Genomic DNA, 22,691 nt, shown 5'->3' on the forward strand with positions numbered 1-22,691 from the left:
GTAATAAATATGTGTGGTTTTTTGCAGGCATATATGGTGCTGGTTGTCTCATTACGGAAGGATGTCGTGGAGAGGGAGGCATTCTCATTAACAGTCAAGGCGAAAGGTTTATGGAGCGATACGCCCCTGTCGCGAAGGACCTGGCGTCTAGAGATGTGGTGTCTCGGTCCATGACTCTGGAGATCCGAGAAGGAAGGTGCGTGTGATTTACCACCAGCACTGTCTGAGCGGGCACACGGGCCGGGGTTGCTTCTGTGAGTTTCAGCACCGCTCGCCCTCACCTTCGTGTGCAGGCGCATGTGCACAGCCACCTCTCTTAGCTGCTGGCAGGCGTCTGTTAGTCTGCGATATTTTCCTAAAGACCTACATTTTGAAAATTTTAGCCAGTTTCTTTCTCAAATCTGTGGAACAGAGTTTCTCTTAGTGTGTGTGAGTATGTGACGGAGTATGGGAGAGAGAGACACACACCCAACCTGAAGTCGGCATGTGAGCCTTGGGTGTTGTGTCTGATACCCACAGATGTTTTTTGGCAGCTTTCAAAGTGTGTGGGTTATTTGGCTTTCAGTAAAACAGTTTGCAGCTCTTTCATTGCCTGACCCTGTTCTTTAATGTAATGACATTTGCTAAATATCTGCTGGTATGGCCTTTAGAGGTTTTACATTTTTATATTAAAAAAACAGAGAAGTCAGGTGGGGCGCAGTGGCTCACGCCTGTAATCCCAGCACTTTGGGAGGCTGAAGCGGGCAGATCAGGAGGTCAGGAGATCGAGACCATCCTGGCTAACACGGTGAAACCCCGTCTCTACTAAAAATACAAAAAATTAGCCGGGCGTGATGGCAGGTGCCTGTAGTCCCAGCTACTCGGGAGGCTGAGGCAGGAGAATGGCGTGAACCTGGGAGGCGGAGCTTGCAGTGAGCTGAGATCACACCACTGCACTCCAGCCTGGGCGACAGAGCAACACTCTGTCTCAAAAAAAAAAAAAAAAAAAAAAAAAACAGAGAAGTCAAATGGTTTTTTGGAATATGGTGGCCCTCCGTACCCATTGGTTCCACATGTGTGGTTTCAGCCAACTATGTATTGAAAATAAAATTGCATCCTTACAAATATGCAGACTTTTTTTCCTTGTCATTGTTCCCTTAACAATACAGTGTAACAGCTATTTACGTAGCATTTACATTGTATTAGGTACTATGAGTCATCCTGGAGTTGCTGTAAAACTTAAACGTAAAACTTGAAATGAGGATGATTTAAAGTATAGAGGAGGATGTGCATAGGTTATATGCAAATACTCTCCCATTTTATATTAGGGACTTGAGCATCCACGGATTTTGGTATCCGTGGGGGTCCTGGACCCAACCTGCCACGGATACGCAGGGACGACTGTATTTGGCATAGAGGCCTTTCTAATGCACTTACCAAGGACACCTGCAGCAGGCTGTGATCCCTGAGACGAGCGTGAGTTTAGTGAGGGCAGAGTTTTTGTTCTGGTTCTCAGCTGTGTCCCAGCACCTGGGATTGTCCCTGGCACACAGTAGCTGCTTAGAAAAGATTTGATGAGAGGGTGACCATACATGAGGGGAAATTTTCCTCAGTATCAAAACATGTTGAAACTCACACACTTCCAAGATGACGTATTCTCAGGTCTCCTGCCGTTGCCGTTCTCTGCCGTATGTGATGGTGTTCTGTCTTACCAGAGGCTGTGGCCCTGAGAAAGATCACGTCTACCTGCAGCTGCACCACCTACCTCCAGAGCAGCTGGCCACGCGCCTGCCTGGCATTTCAGAGACAGCCATGATCTTCGCTGGCGTGGACGTCACGAAGGAGCCGATCCCTGTCCTCCCCACCGTGCATTATAACATGGGCGGCATTCCCACCAACTACAAGGGGCAGGTGATGGTGCTGGCTCCTCCCCCACAGCTGGAAAGAAGGCTGGGACGACGGGGCCCACCTCGCAGTTGTCTCTTTAGATCTTACAGGAAAAGATAGATGTTTCCTTCAAGAAAGTACTGTATTGTTTTCTAGATTGCACTTTAAATTTCTATTACCGGAGGATGGAGGGGGCTTAATAATTTATTCCTCCTTAGTAAATTGTCAGAGATACATCATTTGCAGCTTTTTCCATTTTGTAATTACTTTCCTATATGATCTTGTGTTATTTCTAATGATCTTACACATCAAGGGATCTTTATAATTCATTCCTTTGAGTGGTTTGTGGTTCACACAGAGCTTGTCAGTCACTTAGGCTCCTTGTTGGGCGAGGTGGGTGGAAGCTGTTGCTCTCCCTGCGTAGACGAAGAGGTGAACGGGGTAGAACAGTCTGGAACATCAGTCTCCCCTGCTGATGTTCCTCCACCTGCCGTGCTCCTGGGTCTGAGCCGGAGCACAGGTGGTGAGGGCCCCGGGAACATGGGACACGGGGGACAGTCGCAGATGCTGACATTGGAGGTCCTCTGACCTGCTTGTAACAGCAGGTGCTCAGGGGCAGAGGGGAAACTGGGGGATACCTTCGGAAGCTTCCCTCTGAAGAAGAGTAGCTATGGTCCTTACTTCCCTCTTAGATACGGTCTTTACTTCCCTCTCTTTTTTTTTCTTGGAGATGCAGTCTCACTCTGTTGCTTCGGCTGGAGAGCAGTGGTGCGATCTCAGCTCACTGCAACCTCTGCCTCCCAGGTTCAAGTGATTTTTCCGCCTCAGCCTCCCTAGTAGCTGGGATTACAGGCACCCGCCATTATGCCCCGCTAATTTTTGTATTTTTAGTAGAGATGGGGTTTCACCGTGTTAGCCAGACAGGTCTTGAACCCCTGACCTCAGGTGATCACCCACCTCAGCCTCCCAAAGTGCTGAGATTACAGGCGTGAGCCACCACGCCTGGCCTACTTCCCTCTCTCTGACCTGCAGCACAGACACCCTGTTGGGGAAGGTGGGCTGGTGGAGGCATGGGCACCTTGACATTTCACCTGAAATCTTCCTTTCCACAGGTCCTGAGGCACGTGAATGGCCAGGATCAGATTGTGCCCGGCCTGTACGCCTGTGGGGAGGCCGCCTGTGCCTCGGTACATGGTGCCAACCGCCTCGGGGCAAACTCGCTCTTGGACCTGGTTGTCTTTGGTCGGGCATGTGCCCTGAGCATCGAAGAGTCATGCAGGCCTGGTAAGTGTTTTCTTCAGGAGCCAGACTATTTGAGAAGGCGCAGGACGTTAGAAAGTCTTTTTTCTTTTTTTTGAGAAAGGGTCAGCCCAGGCTGGAGTGCAGTGGCACAGTCATAGCAGCCTCAACCTCCCGGGCTCAAGCAGTCTTCAACACCTCAACCTTCAGAGTCCCAAGTAGCTGGGACTACAGATGTGCACCACCACACCTGGCTAATTTTTAAAAAAATTTATTTTGTAGAGACAGGGTCTCACAATATTGCCCAGGCTGGTCTTGAACTCCTAGACTCAAACAGTCCTGCCTCAGCTTCCCAAAGTATCGGGATTACAGGCATGAGCCACTGCACCCAGCCAGGTTACAAAGCCTTGATTTCTTACTGGAAATTTGCTTAGTGATCATATAGAGGTAGTCTGGGTTTTTCCCCCAGAAGTGATTAAACTGAGAAATCCAGAAATTATATGGTGGTAATGTTGAGACTAGATAGAGGCTGGTTGGGGATCTTAACAGTTAAGGTGACATTTTTGGGGTTACATTTTTTTTTAATTATTTTGCAGTCATTATGTTCTGTTTAGAAAAAGCACTATTAGAAAGTTGTTATTTTTAGGGGAATCATTACATATTACTTGCCTGATAAAAATCACTTATTTGCAATGAAATATTTTAAGTAGTTGGCATGAATGAATATGTAACTTCTTGGTACTTAGAAAAGTAATTTAGGCCATTCTAGAAACAAAGTACAGCTAGCCTCTATTAGAGGAGAAGGGATGACTTACAGTGAACAGGATTCCCACCCTTTACGGACAGATTGGATTTCACTTGCTGGTTTTCTTTTCATGATAGCATCAAATAATGTGCAGTAAAGGAAATACCATGTGTGGGAGTGTGAGTCTTACGTGCACTAAGAACGGGGCAGTTAGCATCTCTCCCACCTCCAGACATCCTCACGGTGGTTATCCAGCCTCGTGTGCTCAGAACAGTGTGAGGTGGATGAGGCACTGGTGGATGTTTGCGTGGCAAGGATGGTGGGACCCCAGGCCCATGTTCTTCCCGTTACCTTTCTCTGGTGTTAACTGTTAGCATCATTTCTGCTGTTTTTATACAACAGGTGCTTTTTGTATGGATTCAAGTGAAATAAAAACTAGCACGGCTGTAACTTATAAACGTGCCCCCTTTTGTATCTGTAGTTAGAAAGGTGCAGATAGTATTAAAAGGGTAGCTTACTTCAGACACTCTGTCTCTGGATCTGACCACCGCTCGGGAGGCCAGCACACGCAGAGCTGGCGTCTCATCCCCAGCCATTGGTGATCATCGGCGAAGGCGGAGTTCAGGTCCATCGTTCCTGACGCCGCAGGTAGTGCTTGTCTCACTCCATAGCCCTGCACTTTGTCGCAGTGAGGACTGATACCACTTCTCTCAGAGCAATGTAGAAATTTTGAGCTGCTCTTTCTTTGAAAATGCAAAAAAGAACATTTTGTAAGAATACCCTATACTTTACATCTGAGAAACCGCCCACGCATGCAGCATCTCACGCAGAATGCTGTGGAGTCAGACTCAAAAGGCTGCATGCCTGTGGTTCTGTTGATACGACATTCTGGAAAAGGCACATCTAGGGAAGACAAGGGATTGGTGGTTGCCAGAGGCTGCTTCCTGATTGTGCTGAGACTTACAGACACAACTCTGTGTGTGTCAAAATTTGAAAAACCCTACACTAAAAATGATGAGTTTATTTTACTGTATCTTTATGCTTTAATTTTCAAAAATGAAAAGGAAAGAAAAAATGCTTGTAGCATCACTATTCTCCCCCAAAACCCCCTGCAAAAAAAAATACATATATATACACATATATATGTATTTTTTTTTTTTAAGAGATAGTCTCCCTCTGTCGCCCAGGCTGTAGTGCAGTGGTACGATCAGGTGCACACCACCACACCTGGCTAATTTTTAAAAATGTTTTGTAGGGACAGGGTCTCCCTGTGTTGCCCAGGATGGGCTTGAACTCCTGGCCTCAAGTGTTCCTCCTGTCTCAGCCTCCCGAAGTGGTTACATGCGCCTATACATGTGTTAAAATTGGTAGAACTGAGGCTGGGTGCAGTGGCTCACGCCTATAATCCCACCGCTTTGGGAGGCCGAGGCAGGCAGATTGCTTGAGCTCAGGAGTTCGAGACCAGCTTGGGCAACGTGGTGAAACCCCGTCTCTACCAAAAATACAAAAATTAGCTGGGCATGGTGGCTCACACCTATGTAGTCCCAGCTACTTGGGAGGCTGAGGTTGGAGGATTGCTGGAGCCTGGAAGGCAGAGGTTGCAGTGAGCCAAGATCACACCACTGTACTCCAGCCTGGGCAAGAGAGGGAGGAGACACTGTCTCAAAAAAAAGAAAAAGTAAATTGTAGAACTGTCCACCTAAAGAAAAAAGTCAATTTTACTGAATGATCAATTTTTAAAGCATTATTATCAAAAGGAAGAGAAACACCAGCGAGCCTAGAAGCATTTGAGCAGACCCTCAAGAGACCCATAGCCTGGTCCTGTGGAGAGGTGGTGGGCGGGGTGGGGCCTGTTTGACTCCTGCATTTCATACATCCTACCTCCTGCATGTATTACCTGTTGAAGAAAATATATATAACGTTATAAAAAAAACTTAAAAACTTTTTTCAAGACATCGTAGAAACACAAGAGTTGCAAATCTTGGCTGTGCGCAGTGGCTCACACGTGATCCCAGCACTTTGGGAAGCCAAGGCAGGTGGCTCACCTGAGGTCAGGAGTTCTAGACTGGCCAACATGGTGAAACCCATTTCTACTGAAAATACAAAAAATTAGCCAGGTATGGTGGCATATTCCTGTAGTCCCAGCTACTCTGGAGGCTGAGGCAGGAGGCTTGCTTGAACCCGGAGATGGAGGTTGCAGTGAGCCGAGATGGTGCCACTGACTGCACTCCAACCTGGGCTACAGAACAAAATTCCATCTCAAAAAAAAAAAAATTGCTAATCTTGAAGTATAGTTGAGAGCACATAAGAGTCCAAATCAACAGGTGACTTTCAAGCACACAGCAGCCACCTTCCCCCCGCTGATGTGAAGGGTGGCCGGCCCCTTGGGACCACCATCTGGAAGGTGTCTCTTTTTTCCCTTAGTGGAGTGACATTTATATACACTTAATATATATAAATTTGTATACATTTAATTTTTTTTTTTTTTAAGACAGGGTCTCGCTCTGTTGCCCAGGCTGGAGTGCAGTGGCGCGATCTCGGCTCACTGCAACCTCCACCTTTAGGGTTCAAGCAGTTCTCATGCCTCAGCCTCCCGAGTAGCTGGGATTATAGACGCGTGCCACCATACCCAGATAATTTTTGTGTTTTTAGTGAAACGAGGTTTTGCCATGTTGGCCAGGCTGCTCTTGAATTCCTGACCTCAAGTGATCCACCTACCTTGGCCTCGTAAAGTGCTGGGATTACAGGCGTGAGCCACCGCACCCGGCCTACATTTAATTTTTTAATTTTAGAGATGATTTCTAGTTTATTCACTCTAAGATCACTTAATGGATATCTACTGTGTGCCAACAATTTTGCCTTTATGTTCTTTAAAATTGGCCCCAACTCAACAGATGGCCTCAGCTGTAGGGTGGGCTGGCAGTGTGTTAGCTCAGGAGACTTACAGAGTTTCCAAGCTCCTTGAGTGGCTGTGCTACATGTTTGTGTGTCATTCTAAATCCATTTGGTTTTTTAAAACGGTTTTCAAAAGTTAAATTCTAGCTTTTTTTTGTTTTAGGAGATAAAGTCCCTCCAATTAAACCAAACGCTGGGGAAGAATCTGTCATGAATCTTGACAAATTGAGATTTGCTGATGGAAGCATAAGAACATCGGAACTGCGACTCAGCATGCAGAAGGTAAGAGCCTGGACTCGCTCTGGAGTGAGCAGGAGGGCTGCATACCTGGCCCTGCACTGGTTTTGTTTTTTAAAAACTAGATCTAGGGGGATGCAGGTGCAGTTTTGTGTGGATGTACTGGGAGGTGGTGGAGTCTGGGCTTTTCATGTACCCGTCACACAAGTCGTGTGTGTTGTACCCAGTAGGTAATTGTTCAACCCCACCCCTCCCGCTTTTTGGAGCTCCCAGTCTCTGCTACTCCACTCCATGTGTCCATGTGTACTCACCATTCAGCTTCCACTTCCAAGTGAGAATGTGTGACACTTGACCTTCTGAGTCACTTCACTTAGGATAGTGACCTCCTGTTCCATCCGTGTGGCTGCAGAAGACATGATTGCGTTCTTTTTTTATGGCCGAGTAGTATTTCATGGTATATATGTACCACATTTTCTTCATCTGGTCATCCGTTGATGGGCACTTAGGTTGATTCCATGACTTTGCTGTTGTGACTAGTGCTGCGATAAATACATAAGGCTGCACCAGTATCTGGAGGTAAACAGCGGTAGGACGTACTCCTCACCGTATCAAGAATATGAAAGAGACCAGGAGGCCTGAACTATACAGAAGTGCACTTCTTTTCCACATAGAAGGTCGGCAGACTAGGGCAGAATTAGTGACTGCTTGGCATCCAGGACAGCCTTCTGTGGTTCACTCGTGTGTGCTTGGGTGTGACCTCCGTGACCTGACCATTGCTGGCTGTCATGGATGAGTCACAGCGTGGAGGAGAGGGAACTGCAGGACCGCTGGAGAAGCTCAGTCCCCAGCAGGGCAGCTTTCTCTTAGAGGTTTCCTGGAGTTCAACACAACACTGGTGCTTACATCTCAGGCCCGGATATCGATCATGTCATCATGCCTGGCTTCCAGCAGCTCGGAAATGTCTTTAAGCTGGACTTGTTGCTGCCTCTAAATATACTCGGAAGAGAGGGAGAGTGGGCGGCAGGTGGAAACTGATCTGTGGCCTGTGCTGCTGGGAGTCGGTCCAGTAGGACCATCTGTGATGATGGAAATGTTCCGAGTGTTTGCCATCCAGTATGGCAGCCATTAGCCATGGGGCCGTGGAGAACCTGATACATGGTCAGTCTAAGAAACTGAATTCCTCTAATAACAAGGATTCTTGTCCATGAATGAGATCTCTTGCCTACTATTTGCAAGAATTTCTGTGTATTTTCTAAAAAGTCCATTGCTTTAGTCCTATTCTGAAATAGGTGTCTAACACCTATGTGGTGTTAGACACAGGAGAACAGGTTCCCTGCTGACATTTTCAGAGGCCTGTGCCCTTCAGTCTTCAAGTGAAGCTGGGCTTCAGGGAGGCTTTGTGGAATGGTGAGAAGAACAGTGTGACTAAGGCACAGAAGGCTGAGTGATGCCCTGCAGTACTATTGTAGGGTTGGAGGCCAGCTGGGAAAGAAAGAACCATTGCATTAGAGAATGGGAACATGCCTTCGGATATAGAAATGGCAAATCCATGAGATAGTTTAAAGTGAGAATACTAGAAGCATTCCCACCAAACATGGTGTGTCTTGGTGCCTGCTGTATCCCAGGCTCCACGAGATGCTGGAGTCAGCACTGAACAAACAGAGTTTCCTCTGCTCGTGGAAATGCGTTCCGTTGGGGAAGGGATTTTTCTGCTGAGTCTGGCTATTCATAGTAAGAAGCAAAAAAAAGAAATGAGGTAAATTTTTGGGAACAGGCCCCCAAATGTGGCCCAAAACTGACCATAAACAAAATCTCTGCAGCACTGTGACATGCTCTTGATGGCCATGACGCCCACGCTAGAAGGCTGTTGGTTTACCAGAATGAGGGCAAGGGACACCTGGCCCACCCAGGGTGGAAAACCGCTTAAGGCATTCTTAAACCACAAACAATAGCATGAGCGATCTGTGCCTTAAGGACATGTTCCTGCTGCAGATAACTAGCCAGAGCCCATACCTTTGTTTCCCGTAAGGAATACTTTTAGTAAATCTTATGACTGGCTTGCTCTCAATAAATATGTGGGTAAATCTCTGTTCAAGGCTCTCAACTCTGAAGGCTGTGAGACCCCTGATTTCCCACTCCACACACTATATTTCTGTGTGTGTGTCTTTAATTCCTCTAGCGCCGCTGGGTTAGGGTCTCCATGACCGAGCTGGTCTCGGCAAATGGCGCCCATATATGGGGGCTCGAATCTAGGTCGAAGGGTCACCGGAGCGATGGAGAACATGGAACTAAGCTGGAGGACACCTGAGTACTCTTACGCAGTCCCTGTGGTGAGTAAGACGGGTAGCTCAGAAGCATCAGGGTAACAATGGGACACGTGTGGGCTCTGGTTCGTTCCACCTTGGAACCTTTTCATGCTAATAATAAGGGGGAAGGAGAGTATAACGAAGTAACAGAAGAAATTACAGAGCAGGTTTGTTTGCCAACTAAAGCTAAAGCGGCAAAGGAGGGAGAGGTTCATCCCTACCCTTCTGCACCCCCTCCTTATTTTGAAGAAAAAGAGTGGCCTGACCCTCCAGATCTTTCTTTTCCAGAGGACAGTGGGCGAAAAGTAGTTGCTCCAGTGACTGTCCGAGCAGCACCTTGAGCGACCCCTCTCAGTTCTATTCAGGCAGGAATTCAGCAAGCTAGATGAGAGGGTGATTTAGAGGCTTGGCAGTTCCCTGTTAGAATACACCCTGCAGATCAACAGGGAAATATTACAGCTACATTTGAGCCTTTTCCCTTTAAATTACTTAAGGAGTTTAAACACGCTATCAATCAGTATGGACCAGGTTCTCCTTTTGTAACAGGACTGTTAAAGAATGTTGTTGTTTCCAGTCGGATGATTCCTACTGACTTGGACGCTCTTACTTGAGCTTGTCTAACTCCTGCTCAGTTCTTACAATTTAAAACTTGGTGGGCAGTTGTAGCTTCCATTCAGCCTACTTGCAGCGCCCAGGCCCAACCTCAAATTAATATAACTGCAGACCAGCTTTTGGGGGTCGGCAGCTGGGCTGGTTTAGATGCACAAGTGGTCGTGCAGGATGATGCCGTAGAACAGCTTAGAGGAGTGTGCATTAGAGCTTGGGAAAAAATCACTTCAGGTAGAGAACAATACCCTTCCTTTAGTGCAGTAAAACAGGGACCAAAAGAACCGTACGCTGATTTTATAGCTCGGTTACAGGAGTCTCTTAAAAAGGTGATCGCAGATTCGGCTGCTCAGGATATAGTGCTGCAGTTATCAGCTTTCGACAATGCTAATCCCGATTGCCAGGCTGCTCTGTGACCTATCAGAGGGAAAGCACACTTAGTTGATTATATCAAGGCCTGTGATGGTATCAGAGGTACTCTGCATAAAGCGACTTTGTTGGCACAAGCTATGGCAGGACTGAAAGTGAGTAAAGGAAATACTCCGTTTCCTGGAGGTTGTTTTAACTGTGGGAAGCATGGTCATACTAAAAAAGAATGTAGAAAAAAATCAGTGAGTGAGGGTGCCAGATGGGGGAAGAAAGAAAACTGCTAAGCCTGAAATATGTCCAAAATGTAAAAAAGGAAAACTTTGGGCTAATCAGTGTCACTCTAAGTTTGATAAAGATGGGAACCCCATTTTGGGAAATGCCATGAGGGGCCCGTCCTGGGTCCCGTTCCAAACCGGGGCATTTCCGGCTCAGGCCACTCCCTCACCCCTGTACAATGTCTGTTCCCCGCCACAGCCGGTAGTGCCACAGTAGATTTATGCTGCACAGTAGCTGTGAGTCTTCTGCTTGGGGAACCCCCACCAAAGGTCCCAGCAGGAGTCTGTGGACCCTTGCAAGCAGGGACGATAGGATTACTCCTAGGCAGGTCTAGTTTAAGTTTAAAAGGGTACAAATACATAGAGGAGTCATTGATTCAGATTACAATGAGGAAATTCAAATTGTTACATCTACTTCTGTTCCCTGGAAAGCAGAGCCAGGAGAGTGCATAGCACAGCTCCTGATTGTGCCATATGTGGAAATGGGGAAAAGTGAAATTAAATGAACAAAAGGATATGGAAGCACAGATAAACAAGGCAAAGCAGCCTATTGGGTGAATCAAATTACTGATAAACGTCCTACCTGTGAAATAACTATTCAGGGAAAGAAATTTAAAGGTTTGGTAGATGCAGGAGCGGACATTTCAATCATTTCTCTACAGCACTGGCCGTCTGTGTGGCCAATTCAACCTGCTCAATTTAACATAGTTGGAGTTGGTAAAGCCCCTGAAGTATATCAAAGTAGTTATATTTCCATTGTGAAGGGCCCAATGGACAACCTGGGACTATTCAATGATAACTTCTGTACCTATAAATTTATGGGGAAGAGATTTATTACAACGATGGGGAGCACAAGTTCTAATTCCAGAGCAATTATATAGCCCTCAAAGTCAACATATGCATGAAATGGGGTATGTCCCTGGTATGGGACTAGGAAAAAATTTGCAGGGTTTGAAAGAAGTGCTTCAAGTGGAAAGACAAAAGTTCCTGCCAAGGTTTAGGATATTATTTTTGATGGCGGCCATTGTTAAGCTTCCAGAACCTATACCTTTAAAATGGTTAACATATAAGCCAATTTGGATAGAACAATGGCCACTGAGTAAAGAGAAACTGGAGGCTTTAGAGGACTTAGTTAATGAACAATTAGAAAAGGGACACATAGCTCCAACATTTTCCCCTTGTAATTCTTTGGTTTTCTTAATTAAGAAAAAATCAGGTAAATGGAGAATGTTAACTGACTTAAGAGCCATTAATTCAGTTATACAACCTACGGGGACATTACAGCCAGGATTGCCTTCTCCTGCTATGATTCCAAAAAATTGGCCTTTAATAGTCATAGATTTAAAAGACTGTTTCTTTACTATCCCCTTAGCTGAGCAAGACTGTGAACGGTTTGCATTTACAATTCGTGCAGTAAACAACCTGCAGCCTGCTAAGCGTTTTCATTGGAAAGTGTTGCGACAAGGCATGTTAAACAGTCCAACGATTTGCCAGACTTGTGTAGGGCAAGCAATTGAACCTACTCATAAAACATTTTCACAGTGTTACATTATTCATTATATGGATGATATACTTTGTGCTGCCCCTACTCGAGAAATATTACTCCAATGTTATGATCATTTGCAAAATTCAATTTCTGGTGCTGGTTTAATTATAGCTCCTAACAAAATCCAGATTACTACTCTTTACTCCTACTTGGGAACCTTAGTAAATGACATTACCATTGTGCTACAGAAAGTAGCCATACGTAGGGATCAATTGAAAACATTAAATGAGACTTTCAAAAATTACTGGGGACATTAACTGGATACACCCTGCTCTAGGCATTCCTACCTATGCCATGAGTAATCTATTTTCTATCCTTAGAGGAGATCCTAGTCTCACTAGCCCTCGGCTTCCTACCTATGCCATGAGTAATCTATTTTCTATCCTTAGAGGAGATCCTAGTCTCACTAGCCCTCGGCTATGCCATGAGTAATCTATTTTCTATCCTTAGAGGAGATCCTGGTCTCACTAGCCCTCAGCAATTAACAAAAGAAACTAAGGGAGTGCCTCAGCTGATCGAAAAGCAAGTCCATAAAGCCCAAATAAATAGAACAGATCCAGAGAAGACTCGAGCTGCAGCTGATCGAAAAGCAAGGCCATAAAGCCCAAATAAATGGAACAGATCCAGAAAAGACTCAAGCTGCAGCCGATCGAAAAGCAAGGCCATAAAGCCCAAATAAATAGAATCAATGCAGAGAAGACTCAAGCTGCAGCTGATCGAAAAGCAAGGCCATAAAGCCCAAGTAAATAGAATCGATCCAGAGAAGACTCGAGCTGCAGCTGATCGAAAAGCAAGGCCATAAAGCCCAAGTAAATAGAATCGATCCAGAGAAGACTTGAGCTGCAGCTGATCGAAACGCAAGGCCGTAAAGCCCAAATCAATAGAATCGATCCAGAGAAGACTCGAGCTGCGGCTGATCAAAAAGCAAGGCCGTAAAGCTCAAATCAATAGAATAGATCCAGAGAAGACTTGAGCTGCAGCTGATCGAAAAGCAAGGCCATAAAGCCCAAGTAAATAGAATAGTTCCAGAGAAGGCTCTAGATTTGCTAATTTTTCCAACTCCACATTCACCTACTGGTGTTATTGTTCAAGAGCAAGATTTTGTAGAATGGCTTTTTCTTCCACATACTAATTCATGGACTCTAGAGAAGGCTCTAGATTTGCTAATTTTTCCAACTCCACATTCAGCTACTGGTGTTATTGTTCAAGAGCAAGATCTTGTAGAATGGCTTTTTCTTCCACATACTAATTCATGGACTCTAACTCCTTATTTGGATCAAATTGCTACTATGATAGGAAATGGGAGAACTTGGATTGTTAAATTACATGGATATGATCCTGAAAAAATTGTCCCTCTCACGAAGGCACAAATACAGCAAGATTTTTTAAATAGTCTTACTTGGCAAACCCATTTAGCTGACTTTGTGGGTATTCTTGATATTTTCCTAAAATGAAACTGTTTCAATTTTTGAAATTAACTAATTGGATTCTCCCTAAAATAACTAAATTTAAACCAAATGAAGATGCAGAGAATGTTTTTACAGATGGGTCTAGTAATGGTAAAGCTTCTTACTCTGGCTCGAAAGGTAAAGTTTTCTAGACACCCTATGCTTCAGCTCAAAAAGTGGAGCTTGTAGCTGTAATTGAGGTATTGACTGCTTTTAATATGCTTATTAATGTGATTTCTGGTTCTTCATACATGGTTCATTCCACACAATTAATTGAAAATGCTGAGTTACGATTTCATACAGATGAACAACTGATGACTTTATTTATGCAATTGCAAACAGCAGTTAGGAGTAGAATGCACCCTTTTTACATCACTCACATTAGGGCTCATACACCTCTTCCAGGACCTTTGACTGCAGGGAATCAAATGGCTGATCGCCTAGTTGCTACTGCAATATCTAATGCTAGACACTTTCACAATTTAACCCGTGTTAATGCCTCTGGTCTCAAACGCAGATACAGCAGTACCCGGAAAGAAGCTAAAGCTATTATCCAGCGATGCCCAACTTGCCAAATGGTACATTCCTCATCTTTTACAGGAGGAGTTAATCCTCGAAGATTGGAACCTAATTCTCTTTGGGAAATGGATGTCACACATGTTCCCTCGTTTGGGAGACTAGCTTATGTACATGCATGTGTGGACACCTTTTCACTTTGGGCTGCATGCCAATCAGGAGAGTCTTCTGCCTACGTTAAACGTCACCTTTTGCAGTGTTTTGTGGTAATTGGCATTCTAGCTTCTATTAAAACAGATAACGCCCCAGGCTATACTAGCCAAGCTCTAGCTACATTTTTCTCTATACGGAATATTAAACACATTACTGGTATCCCTTATAATTCTCAAGGACAAGCCATAGTGGAAAGAATGAATCTTTCCCTGAAACAGCAGCTGCAAAAGTAAAAGGGGGAAAACAGGGACTACGGGACACCCCATATGCAATTGAATCGCATTATTTAAATTTTTTGAGCCTGCCTAAAGGCCAGATCTTATCAGCAGCTGAACAGCATCTACAGAAACCAGCTGCAAAGACAGAAGCAGAACAACTGGTTTGGTGGAGAGACCTGATAATAAAAAGTTGGGAAATAGGTAAAATAATAACTTGGGGTAGAGGTTATGCTTATGTTTCTCCAGGACGGAACCATCAAGACACCTGAAACCTTATGAGCTGACACTGAGGAAGAGATTCTGGGAGGATCCCGAGGACCCCTCGGTTGCAGCCATGTCAAGACTGATGCTGAGGAGGACCCCAACTGTCATGAGCAACACCCGTCGAACACAGCCACCCACCTGAGGTCAGATCAAGAAGCTGTCACAGATGGCAGAAGAAAACCTGAGGAAAGCGGGACAACCAGTCACAATGAGTAATTTAATGGTAGCTGTGATAGCAGTGATCACCATTGCCATGAGTATTCCTTCAACAAGGGCTGACACAGAGAACAATTATACTTATTGGGCATATTTATCAATCTTGGCTGGCAAGAATGCCTGGATGTAATCACTCTATGATGCAGTTACACATGCTTTCTGATCTCAGTATTTACCATGATAAATCTGCTTCTATAATTGAGGCATACCGCCCTCAAAAACCTATCTGTAAACAGGATTGGACCCAGTCAGAGAAAATGAACGTACATGTTTGGGAAGATTGCATTGCAGAACAGGCAGGGGTGCTGGCAACGATTCCTATGGAATCATTATTGATTGATCTCCTAAGGGGATGTTTAGCTTGAATTGCACCTCTCTGTCTGCGTGCCACGGCCACACTATGTTCAGCTGGTCTGAACAAAATTGTCAGATGGTAGAAATGATAAGAAATACGGCAAGGGTTCCTATTATCTGGAACCATGGCGGTGTAGTGGCACCTCAACCTCAAATGGTATGGCCCTTTGTAGGAGCTAAACATAAGGATTTGTGGAAACTGTTAATAGCTCTTAATAAGATCAAAATTTGGGAAAGAATAAAAAAGCATCTAGAAGGACACCGTACAAACTTGTCTTTGGATATTGCAAAATTGAAAGAACAGATATTTGAAGCATCCCAGCACACCTGACCTTAATGCCAGGAACTGGAGTGCTTGAAGGAGCTGCAGACAGATTAGCAGCTGGTAATCCATTAAAATGGATAAAAACACTTGGAAGCTCTGTGATTTCAATGAAGATTGTGCTTTTAATCTGTGTTATTTGTATAGTCTGCAGATGTGGATCCTGACTCTGCAAGAAGTAGCTCACCGTAACAAAGCTGCCTTTGCTTTTATCACTTTGCAAAACAAATAAAGGGGACACGTTGGGAACAGGCCCCCCAATGTGGCCATAAACTGTCCCCAAAACTGGCCATAAACAAAATCTCTGCAGCACTCTGACATGCTCTTGATGGCCATGATGCCCACGCTGGAAGGTTGTCGGTTTACTGGAATGAGGGCAAGGGACACCTGGCCCACCCAGGGTGGAAAACCGTTTAAGGCATTCTTAAACCACAAACAATAGCATGAGCGATCTGTGCCTTAAGGACATTTTCCTGCTGCAGATAACTAGCCAGAGCCCATCCTTTTGTTTCCCGTAAGGAATACTTTTAGTAAATCTTATCACTGGCTTGCTGTCAATAAATATGTGGGTAAATCTCTGTTCAAGGCTCTCAGCTCTGAAGGCTGTAAGACCCCTGATTTCCCACTTCACATGCTGTATTTCTGTGTGTGTGTCTTTAATTCCTCCAGCACCGCTGGGTTAGGGTCTCCACAACCGAGCTGGTCTCAGCAGTAAATATTGAAAAGGAATAGATACAATTGTCATTATTTACAGATAGAATTTCCAAACAATTCCCAGGGAATAAACTGAAAAACTAACAGAAACAAAACAAGAATGTAGTAAGGTGTCTGGATAAGAGATTTGTATCTAAAAATCAGTAGCTTTACAATGTGCCAGCAGTAGTCTGCTCAGACATCAGTAAATATCTCATTCACATTTCAAAAAAAATTGAAAATGCCCTGAAATAATGTAACCAGAAATACGAAAAAAAGGATATGAAAACATGTGGCTGCTAATGGACATGAAAGAATGTAATACTAGATTCTGAGATGCAATGTTTTTCATTTGTTCTTCCTGAAAAACCATTAGGTTGATGTGCATTACAGTGTTACGATTATGTATGAGTCTAAGGAAAATCAGATGAAATGTCCAAATTAAACCATGAAGGTGCATTGGTAGAGGAAGAGAAAATTAGGGTCAGTGGAGCAAAGCACAGTTAGAGGGAGAAGCAAGGAGGAGGAGGGATCACTGAGGTGGTGCCTGTCCCACAGGAAGCAAAAGCTGACGCCTAGTTCCCAGCATACCTACAGTAAACTTCAGGTCCACTGCATAGCACGTCTCTCATCACAGTAAAACTATGAAGGAACTCAGTGTACAAGGAGCTTCTACAAGATAGGCAGAAGACAGTAGCCAGATGGGCCAAGGGCCCCAGCCACCCACGCCCCTCCCTCTCCTTGAAGACGTGCAGCTCCAACACCACCATCACCAGGGCTCTGCTCAGCTCCTCCTAGTGTGTATCACCACAGGGCTGCTGGCTTGTGTCACGTTCACCACCAGACCCCGCGTCAGGAGTCCCGCCAGGGGTGTGGAGAGGCAGCGCTGCCTGGTTGGCCGTGGAGCTGTATGGAACATGGTGCCTCACAGGCAGTCTGCTTGGAGTCCTGGACCCTGGCTGTATCCTGCTGGAAAGGATGTGTGTGGGTCTAAGATGTGTATGTAATAGAAACATTTATTTATTCAGAAGCTTTAGTCAAAACTTCATTTTTAAGTTTGGAGTAATAAACTCATAGTCTGAATTTCCTAATTTTTCTGTTTAATTTATGTAACTTTTAAGTGAAATGCAAAACAACAGGTCTAAAAGTTAAGCAGTTCTTGGTATGGCTGCTTCTATGGATTAAAAGTTTACAAATAATATTTTGTGCCACAGTCAATGCAAAATCATGCTGCCGTGTTCCGTGTGGGAAGCGTGTTGCAAGAAGGTTGTGGGAAAATCAGCAAGCTCTATGGAGACCTAAAGCACCTGAAGACGTTCGACCGGGGTGAGCAGACAGTGGGCTCTGTGCACACTGTTGGGCCCTTCCTTCTGCAGGGTGGGCTGGTGTCTGTCCCGTCAGTGCTGACTTAGTTCCGTGCTTGCTGTCTGGATGGGTCCTGGCCCACAGCTATAAAGCCACAACCAGTGACTCCATGGACTAGCAGGCCCAGGCTGACAGCTCGGAGGGCCCATGTGACTGGGTCCCGCCTGCCCCTGATGGAACTTTTTGTGTCCCCAGGAATGGTCTGGAACACGGACCTGGTGGAGACCCTGGAGCTGCAGAACCTGATGCTGTGTGCGCTGCAGACCATCTACGGAGCAGAGGCACGGAAGGAGTCACGGGGCGCGCATGCCAGGGAAGACTACAAGGTGGGCCTTCTCACCACGCCCACCTGCACCTGCCTTTTCCTGCCACCTGGTGGGACTCAGCCCCACCCCTGCATTTTCTCTGCATTTTCTTTCGTTGCCCCAAAAGTAAATCCAAAAAATGCCTTTTTCCCCCCTGGTAACTTTGATCCCTGGGTTCTCGCCATCTTCTGGATCACTGTGACCTTTTCCTTGCTTTGGGTCGGCATCCACTGATGCCAGCAGTGGCATCTCCAAGCCAATGTGCTTTGCTGTTAGAAGGCCAAGGTTAGAAGTGCAGCTAGAGTGGCAAGACCAGGAAATAAATGCCAGTTTATTAAATAACGAGTAAGCCATCATTTCAAGCCTGCCCTGTGGAGGAAATGCCAGTTTATTAAATAACGAGTAAGCCACCGTTTCAAACCTGCCCTGTGGAGGAAATGCCAGTTTATTAAATAACGAGTAAGCCACCGTTTCAAACCTGCCCTGTGGAGGAAATGCCAGTTTATTAAATAACGAGTAAGCCACCGTTTCAAGCCTGCCCTGTGGAGGAAATGCCAGTTTATTAAATAACGAGTAAGCCACCGTTTCAGACCTGCCCTGTGGTGGAAATGCCAGTTTATTAAATAACGAGTAAGCCACTGTTTCAAACCTGCCCTGTGGAGGAAATGCCAGTTTATTAACGAGTAAGTCACTGTTTCAAACCTGTCCTGTGGAGGAAATGCCAGTTTATTAACGAATAAGCCACCGTTTCAAACCTGCCCTGTGAAGGAAATGCCAGTTTATTAAATAAGGAGTAAGCCACCGTTTCAAGCCTGCCCTGTGGAGGAAATGCCCGTTTATTAAATAACGAGTAAGCCACCGTTTCAAGCCTGCCCTGTGGAGGAAATGCCCGTTTATTAAATAAGGAGTAAGCCACCATTTCAAGCCTGCCCTGTGGAGGAAATGCCAGTTTATTAAATAACGAGTAAGCCACCGTTTCAAGCCTGCCCTGTGGAGGAAATGCCAGTTTATTAAATAACGAGTAAGCCACCATTTCAAACCTGCCCTGTGGAGGAAATGCCAGTTTATTAACGAGTAAGTCACCGTTTCAAACCTGCCCTGTGGAGGAAATGCCAGTTTAGTAACGAGTAAGTCACCGTTTTAAGCCTGTCCTGTGGAGGAAATGCCAGTTTATTAACGAGTAAGCCACCGTTTCAAACCTGCCCTGTGGAGGAAGTGCCAGTTTATTAAATAATGAGTAAGTCACCGTTTCAAGCCTGCCCTGTGGAGGAAATGCCAGTTTATTAAATAACGAGTAAGTCACCGTTTCATACCTGCCCTGTGGAGGAAATGCCAGTTTATTAACGAGTAAGCCACCGTTTCAGACCTGCCCTGTGGAGGAAAATGCCAGTTTATTAACAAGTAAGTCACTGTTTCAGACCTGCCCTGTGGATGAAATGCCAGTTTATTAATGAGTAAGTCACCATTTCAGACCTGCGCTGTGGAGGAAATGCCAGTTTATTAAATAAGGAGTAAGCCACCATTTCAGACCTGTCCTGTGGTTTGGAAAAGGTATTATAGAGCCTGCCCTGTGGTCACTTGTTCTTCAGATGAACTGATTTTTGTGCAGAGCGCACGTGTTGGATTCTGCCTGGTAAGAGTTTTTCCCATATGATAGCAAAAAACGACGGAAAGGGAAGCTTGGGATGCAAATGCAAGTTCAGGATAAACCACATCAGCAAAAGGACAAAGGCTCCACAAGGCAGGCGCACAGGCTGGTTCAGGACCGTGTGTAGGCGGCTGGTGGCAGCCTTTCCAGTCAGCTGAACATGGTGAATGGGAAAATCATTTTTATTCACCATGAAATTTTACTGATTTACCCTCCACTAGAATATGCTGATGGCTGTGATCACTGCTCAGAACTTGCTCTTGTCTCCTTGTATGTATTAAGAGTTTCCTGCAAAGTATATGAATCCGTGTTTGCCAGAATACAGAATAATAGTAAATTTATTATTTTTATTTTTATTTTTTTGAGAAGGAATCTCACTGTCCCCCAGGCTGGAGTGCAGTGGCGTGATCTCAGCTCACTGCAACCTCTGCCTCCCGGGTTCAAGTGATTCTCCTGCCTCAGCCTCCCAAGCAGCTGGGATTACAGACACACTGCCACCATGCCTAATTTTGTATTTTCAGTAGAGATGGGGTTTCACCATATTGGCCGGGCTGGTCTCGAACTCCTGACCTCAAGTGAACCACCCACCTCGGCCTCCCAAAGTGCTAGGGTTACAGGCATGAGCCACTGTGCCTGGCCAGTGCATAAATTTAGTTGGTCACAGTCAGTTTTAATTAGAATAGAAGCCAGGTGCAGTGCCTCACACCTGTAATCCCAGCATTTGGGAGGCTGAGGCAGGCCAATGACTTGAGCCCCAGAGTTGTAGACCAGCCTGGGCAACATGGCGAAACGTGTCTCTACAAAAACATAAAAAATGAGCCAGGTGTGGTGGTAGCACAGGAGGCTGAGGCAGGAGGATTGATTGAGCCTGGGAAGTCAAGGCTCCGGCAAGCTGTGATCACACCACTGCACTCCAGCCCAGGTGACATAGCCAGACCCTGTCTCAAAAAAAAAATTTTTTTTTAATAAAAACAGGCTGAAAGAAAAGATTGAGGTAGTCTCCCAGCACATGGAGCAAAAAGACAAAGTATTTGATAAACTCTTAGGTACATAAAGGATGCTTAAGGGAACATGCGGACATGGATTACTGTGGACTCACTGCTGGCTGCACACCCCCTGGCCAGCCATGCGGCCTCCGTGGGTTCTGAACATGTTGATGGTGCCAACCTCCTGGGCTGAAGTGGAAATGGAATGAGTTCTAGGGCATCTGTCTCTTAGATCATGTTAATGTCTGCTGTGTTTTTTCTGTATTGCTCTGTTAGAGTAATAAGAAACGTGATGGTGTTTCTGGCCTCAGGTGCGGATTGATGAGTACGATTACTCCAAGCCCATCCAGGGGCAACAGAAGAAGCCCTTTGAGGAGCACTGGAGGAAGCACACCCTGTCCTATGTGGACGTTGGCACTGGGAAGGTCAGTGTGGAGCTCGTTCTCACCACAGCCCAGCACCCACACGGCCCCGCCCAGGCCTGCGGGCTGGCCTTGCTGATGGTGAACGGGGAAGAGCAGGCCAGATTTAAATCAACTCCCGACAGATTCGAGGCACCGCTGAAAAAGGCACTCCGACAGCAGTCGGGCTTCGGGCTGGAAACAGAATCCAGTTCCTGCAGGTGGTTCAGAGGAGCCTTAAGGAAGGGTTGCTCCGTGGTGTGCGCCAGATGGACGTCACTGGGCAGGAGCAAGTGTCCAAGGCCTGGTGGTAGGGGAGGAGATGATGATTGTGGACCTAGCGAGAAAGCATCTGTGGGGTGGGGACACACAGCCATTACCAGAAACCAGTCCCACGTTAAGGGAGCCCAGAAGAGACACCTCCCCTCTCCTCCCACGGGCTGGGCCAACTGGAAGCGTCTGCAGGGGAGCTGAGGGGATGTGGTGCAGCCTTTAGCATCCCCTGGGCACTGAGCAAGCAGAGAAGGGCAGAAATGGAGGTGGGGTTGGGGTGAGCAGTGTCCTGGGAACAGCCAGCCGAGGGTGTGGTAGGGGGTCGCAGCCTTTTTCCACACACGGTGAGCAGCGTCCTGGGAACAGCCAGCCGAGGGTGTGGTAGGGGGGTCGCAGCCTTGTTCCACACAAGCACAGTTCACCTGTGTGGCATTTCCGCTGGGCATTAAGATTCAGAAATAATGAAGATAGAAAGCTTTTACCCTTAAACTTTTCATAGCTTGTAAGAGTCGTATAATCACTTAGCTGTGTCTGTGGAAGTTACCTTTGGACTCTCACTATCATCTAGTGTGTCTGTGATTCAGGCAGTAGGTCATTTTCAGGACTTCTCATGAAGGCCATTTCTTGATAGTGTATAGAAATCACACTTCACTCGCTTAGCACAAGTCTATTTTTAATGTTTCCGGGTTCGGGTTTTTTGGTTTTTTTTTGTTTTTCTGAGATAGAGTCTCATCTCTGTTGCCCAGGCTGATATGTGTTGGCTTGATCTCGTCTCACTGCAGCCTCAACCTCCCCCAGGCTCAGGTGATCCTCCCACCTCAGCTTCCTGGGCACATGGCACCATGCCTGGCTAATTTTTATATGTTTTGTAGAGATGGGGTTTCTCCACGTTGCCCAGGCTAGTCTTGAACTCCTGCGCTCAAGTGATCCACCTGTCTTGGCCTCCCAACAGGCATGAACCAACACCCCCAGCCAGTTTTAGTGATTTTTCAAGAAATACATACTCATTTTAGAAAGTACAAAGAGATTGAAATAAGAGCTCACTAACCAGAGACGACCCATTATGGTTTAAATTTCTTTGTATATGTGCCTACCTTTTCCTGTGTGTGCATATTTAATACACAGCTTGAGTATTCCTTCTCTGAAATCCTTGGGACCAGAAGCGTTGTGGATTTCAGGCTTGTTCAGACTTTGGAATATTTGCATTATACTTACTGTCTGAGCATCCCTAATCGGAAGATCTGACTCCATAGCACATTTCTTTTGAATGTCATGCTGGTGCTCAGAAAGTTTCAGATTTTAGAGAATTTCAGATTTTTGGATTAGGGATGTTCAACCTATATAAATATTTACTTTGAAGTAGAAAAACTGGAAGTAGATGGTTT

General features: G+C 45.7%; 1 protein-coding gene across 7 annotated transcripts in view; it reads left to right on the plus strand.

Moving 5' to 3' along the window:
* SDHA (succinate dehydrogenase complex flavoprotein subunit A) overlaps positions 1-22,691 on the plus strand; it is a 50,427-nt gene that overhangs the window by 15,130 nt on the left and 12,606 nt on the right. For 5 of the 7 annotated variants that reach the window (XR_007058614.1, XM_011514072.3, XM_047417467.1 and 2 more), the window contains 7 exons: positions 28-196; positions 1,695-1,890; positions 2,979-3,150; positions 6,909-7,027; positions 17,543-17,654; positions 17,889-18,019; positions 20,944-21,057. Coding sequence is in view for 6 of the 7 variants with exons in the window: in XM_011514072.3 (XP_011512374.1) it covers positions 28-196; positions 1,695-1,890; positions 2,979-3,150; positions 6,909-7,027; positions 17,543-17,654; positions 17,889-18,019; positions 20,944-21,057 (1,013 nt within the window). In the remaining variant the exon portion in view is untranslated. The remainder of the gene's footprint in view (positions 1-27; positions 197-1,694; positions 1,891-2,978; positions 3,151-6,908; positions 7,028-17,542; positions 17,655-17,888; positions 18,020-20,943; positions 21,058-22,691) is intronic. The other 2 variants (XM_011514073.3, NM_001330758.2) reach the window with 1 other exon arrangement.

The sequence above is a fragment of the Homo sapiens genome, chromosome 5 (assembly GCF_000001405.40).
Source record: "Homo sapiens chromosome 5, GRCh38.p14 Primary Assembly".
NCBI classification, from domain to species: domain Eukaryota; kingdom Metazoa; phylum Chordata; class Mammalia; order Primates; family Hominidae; genus Homo; species Homo sapiens.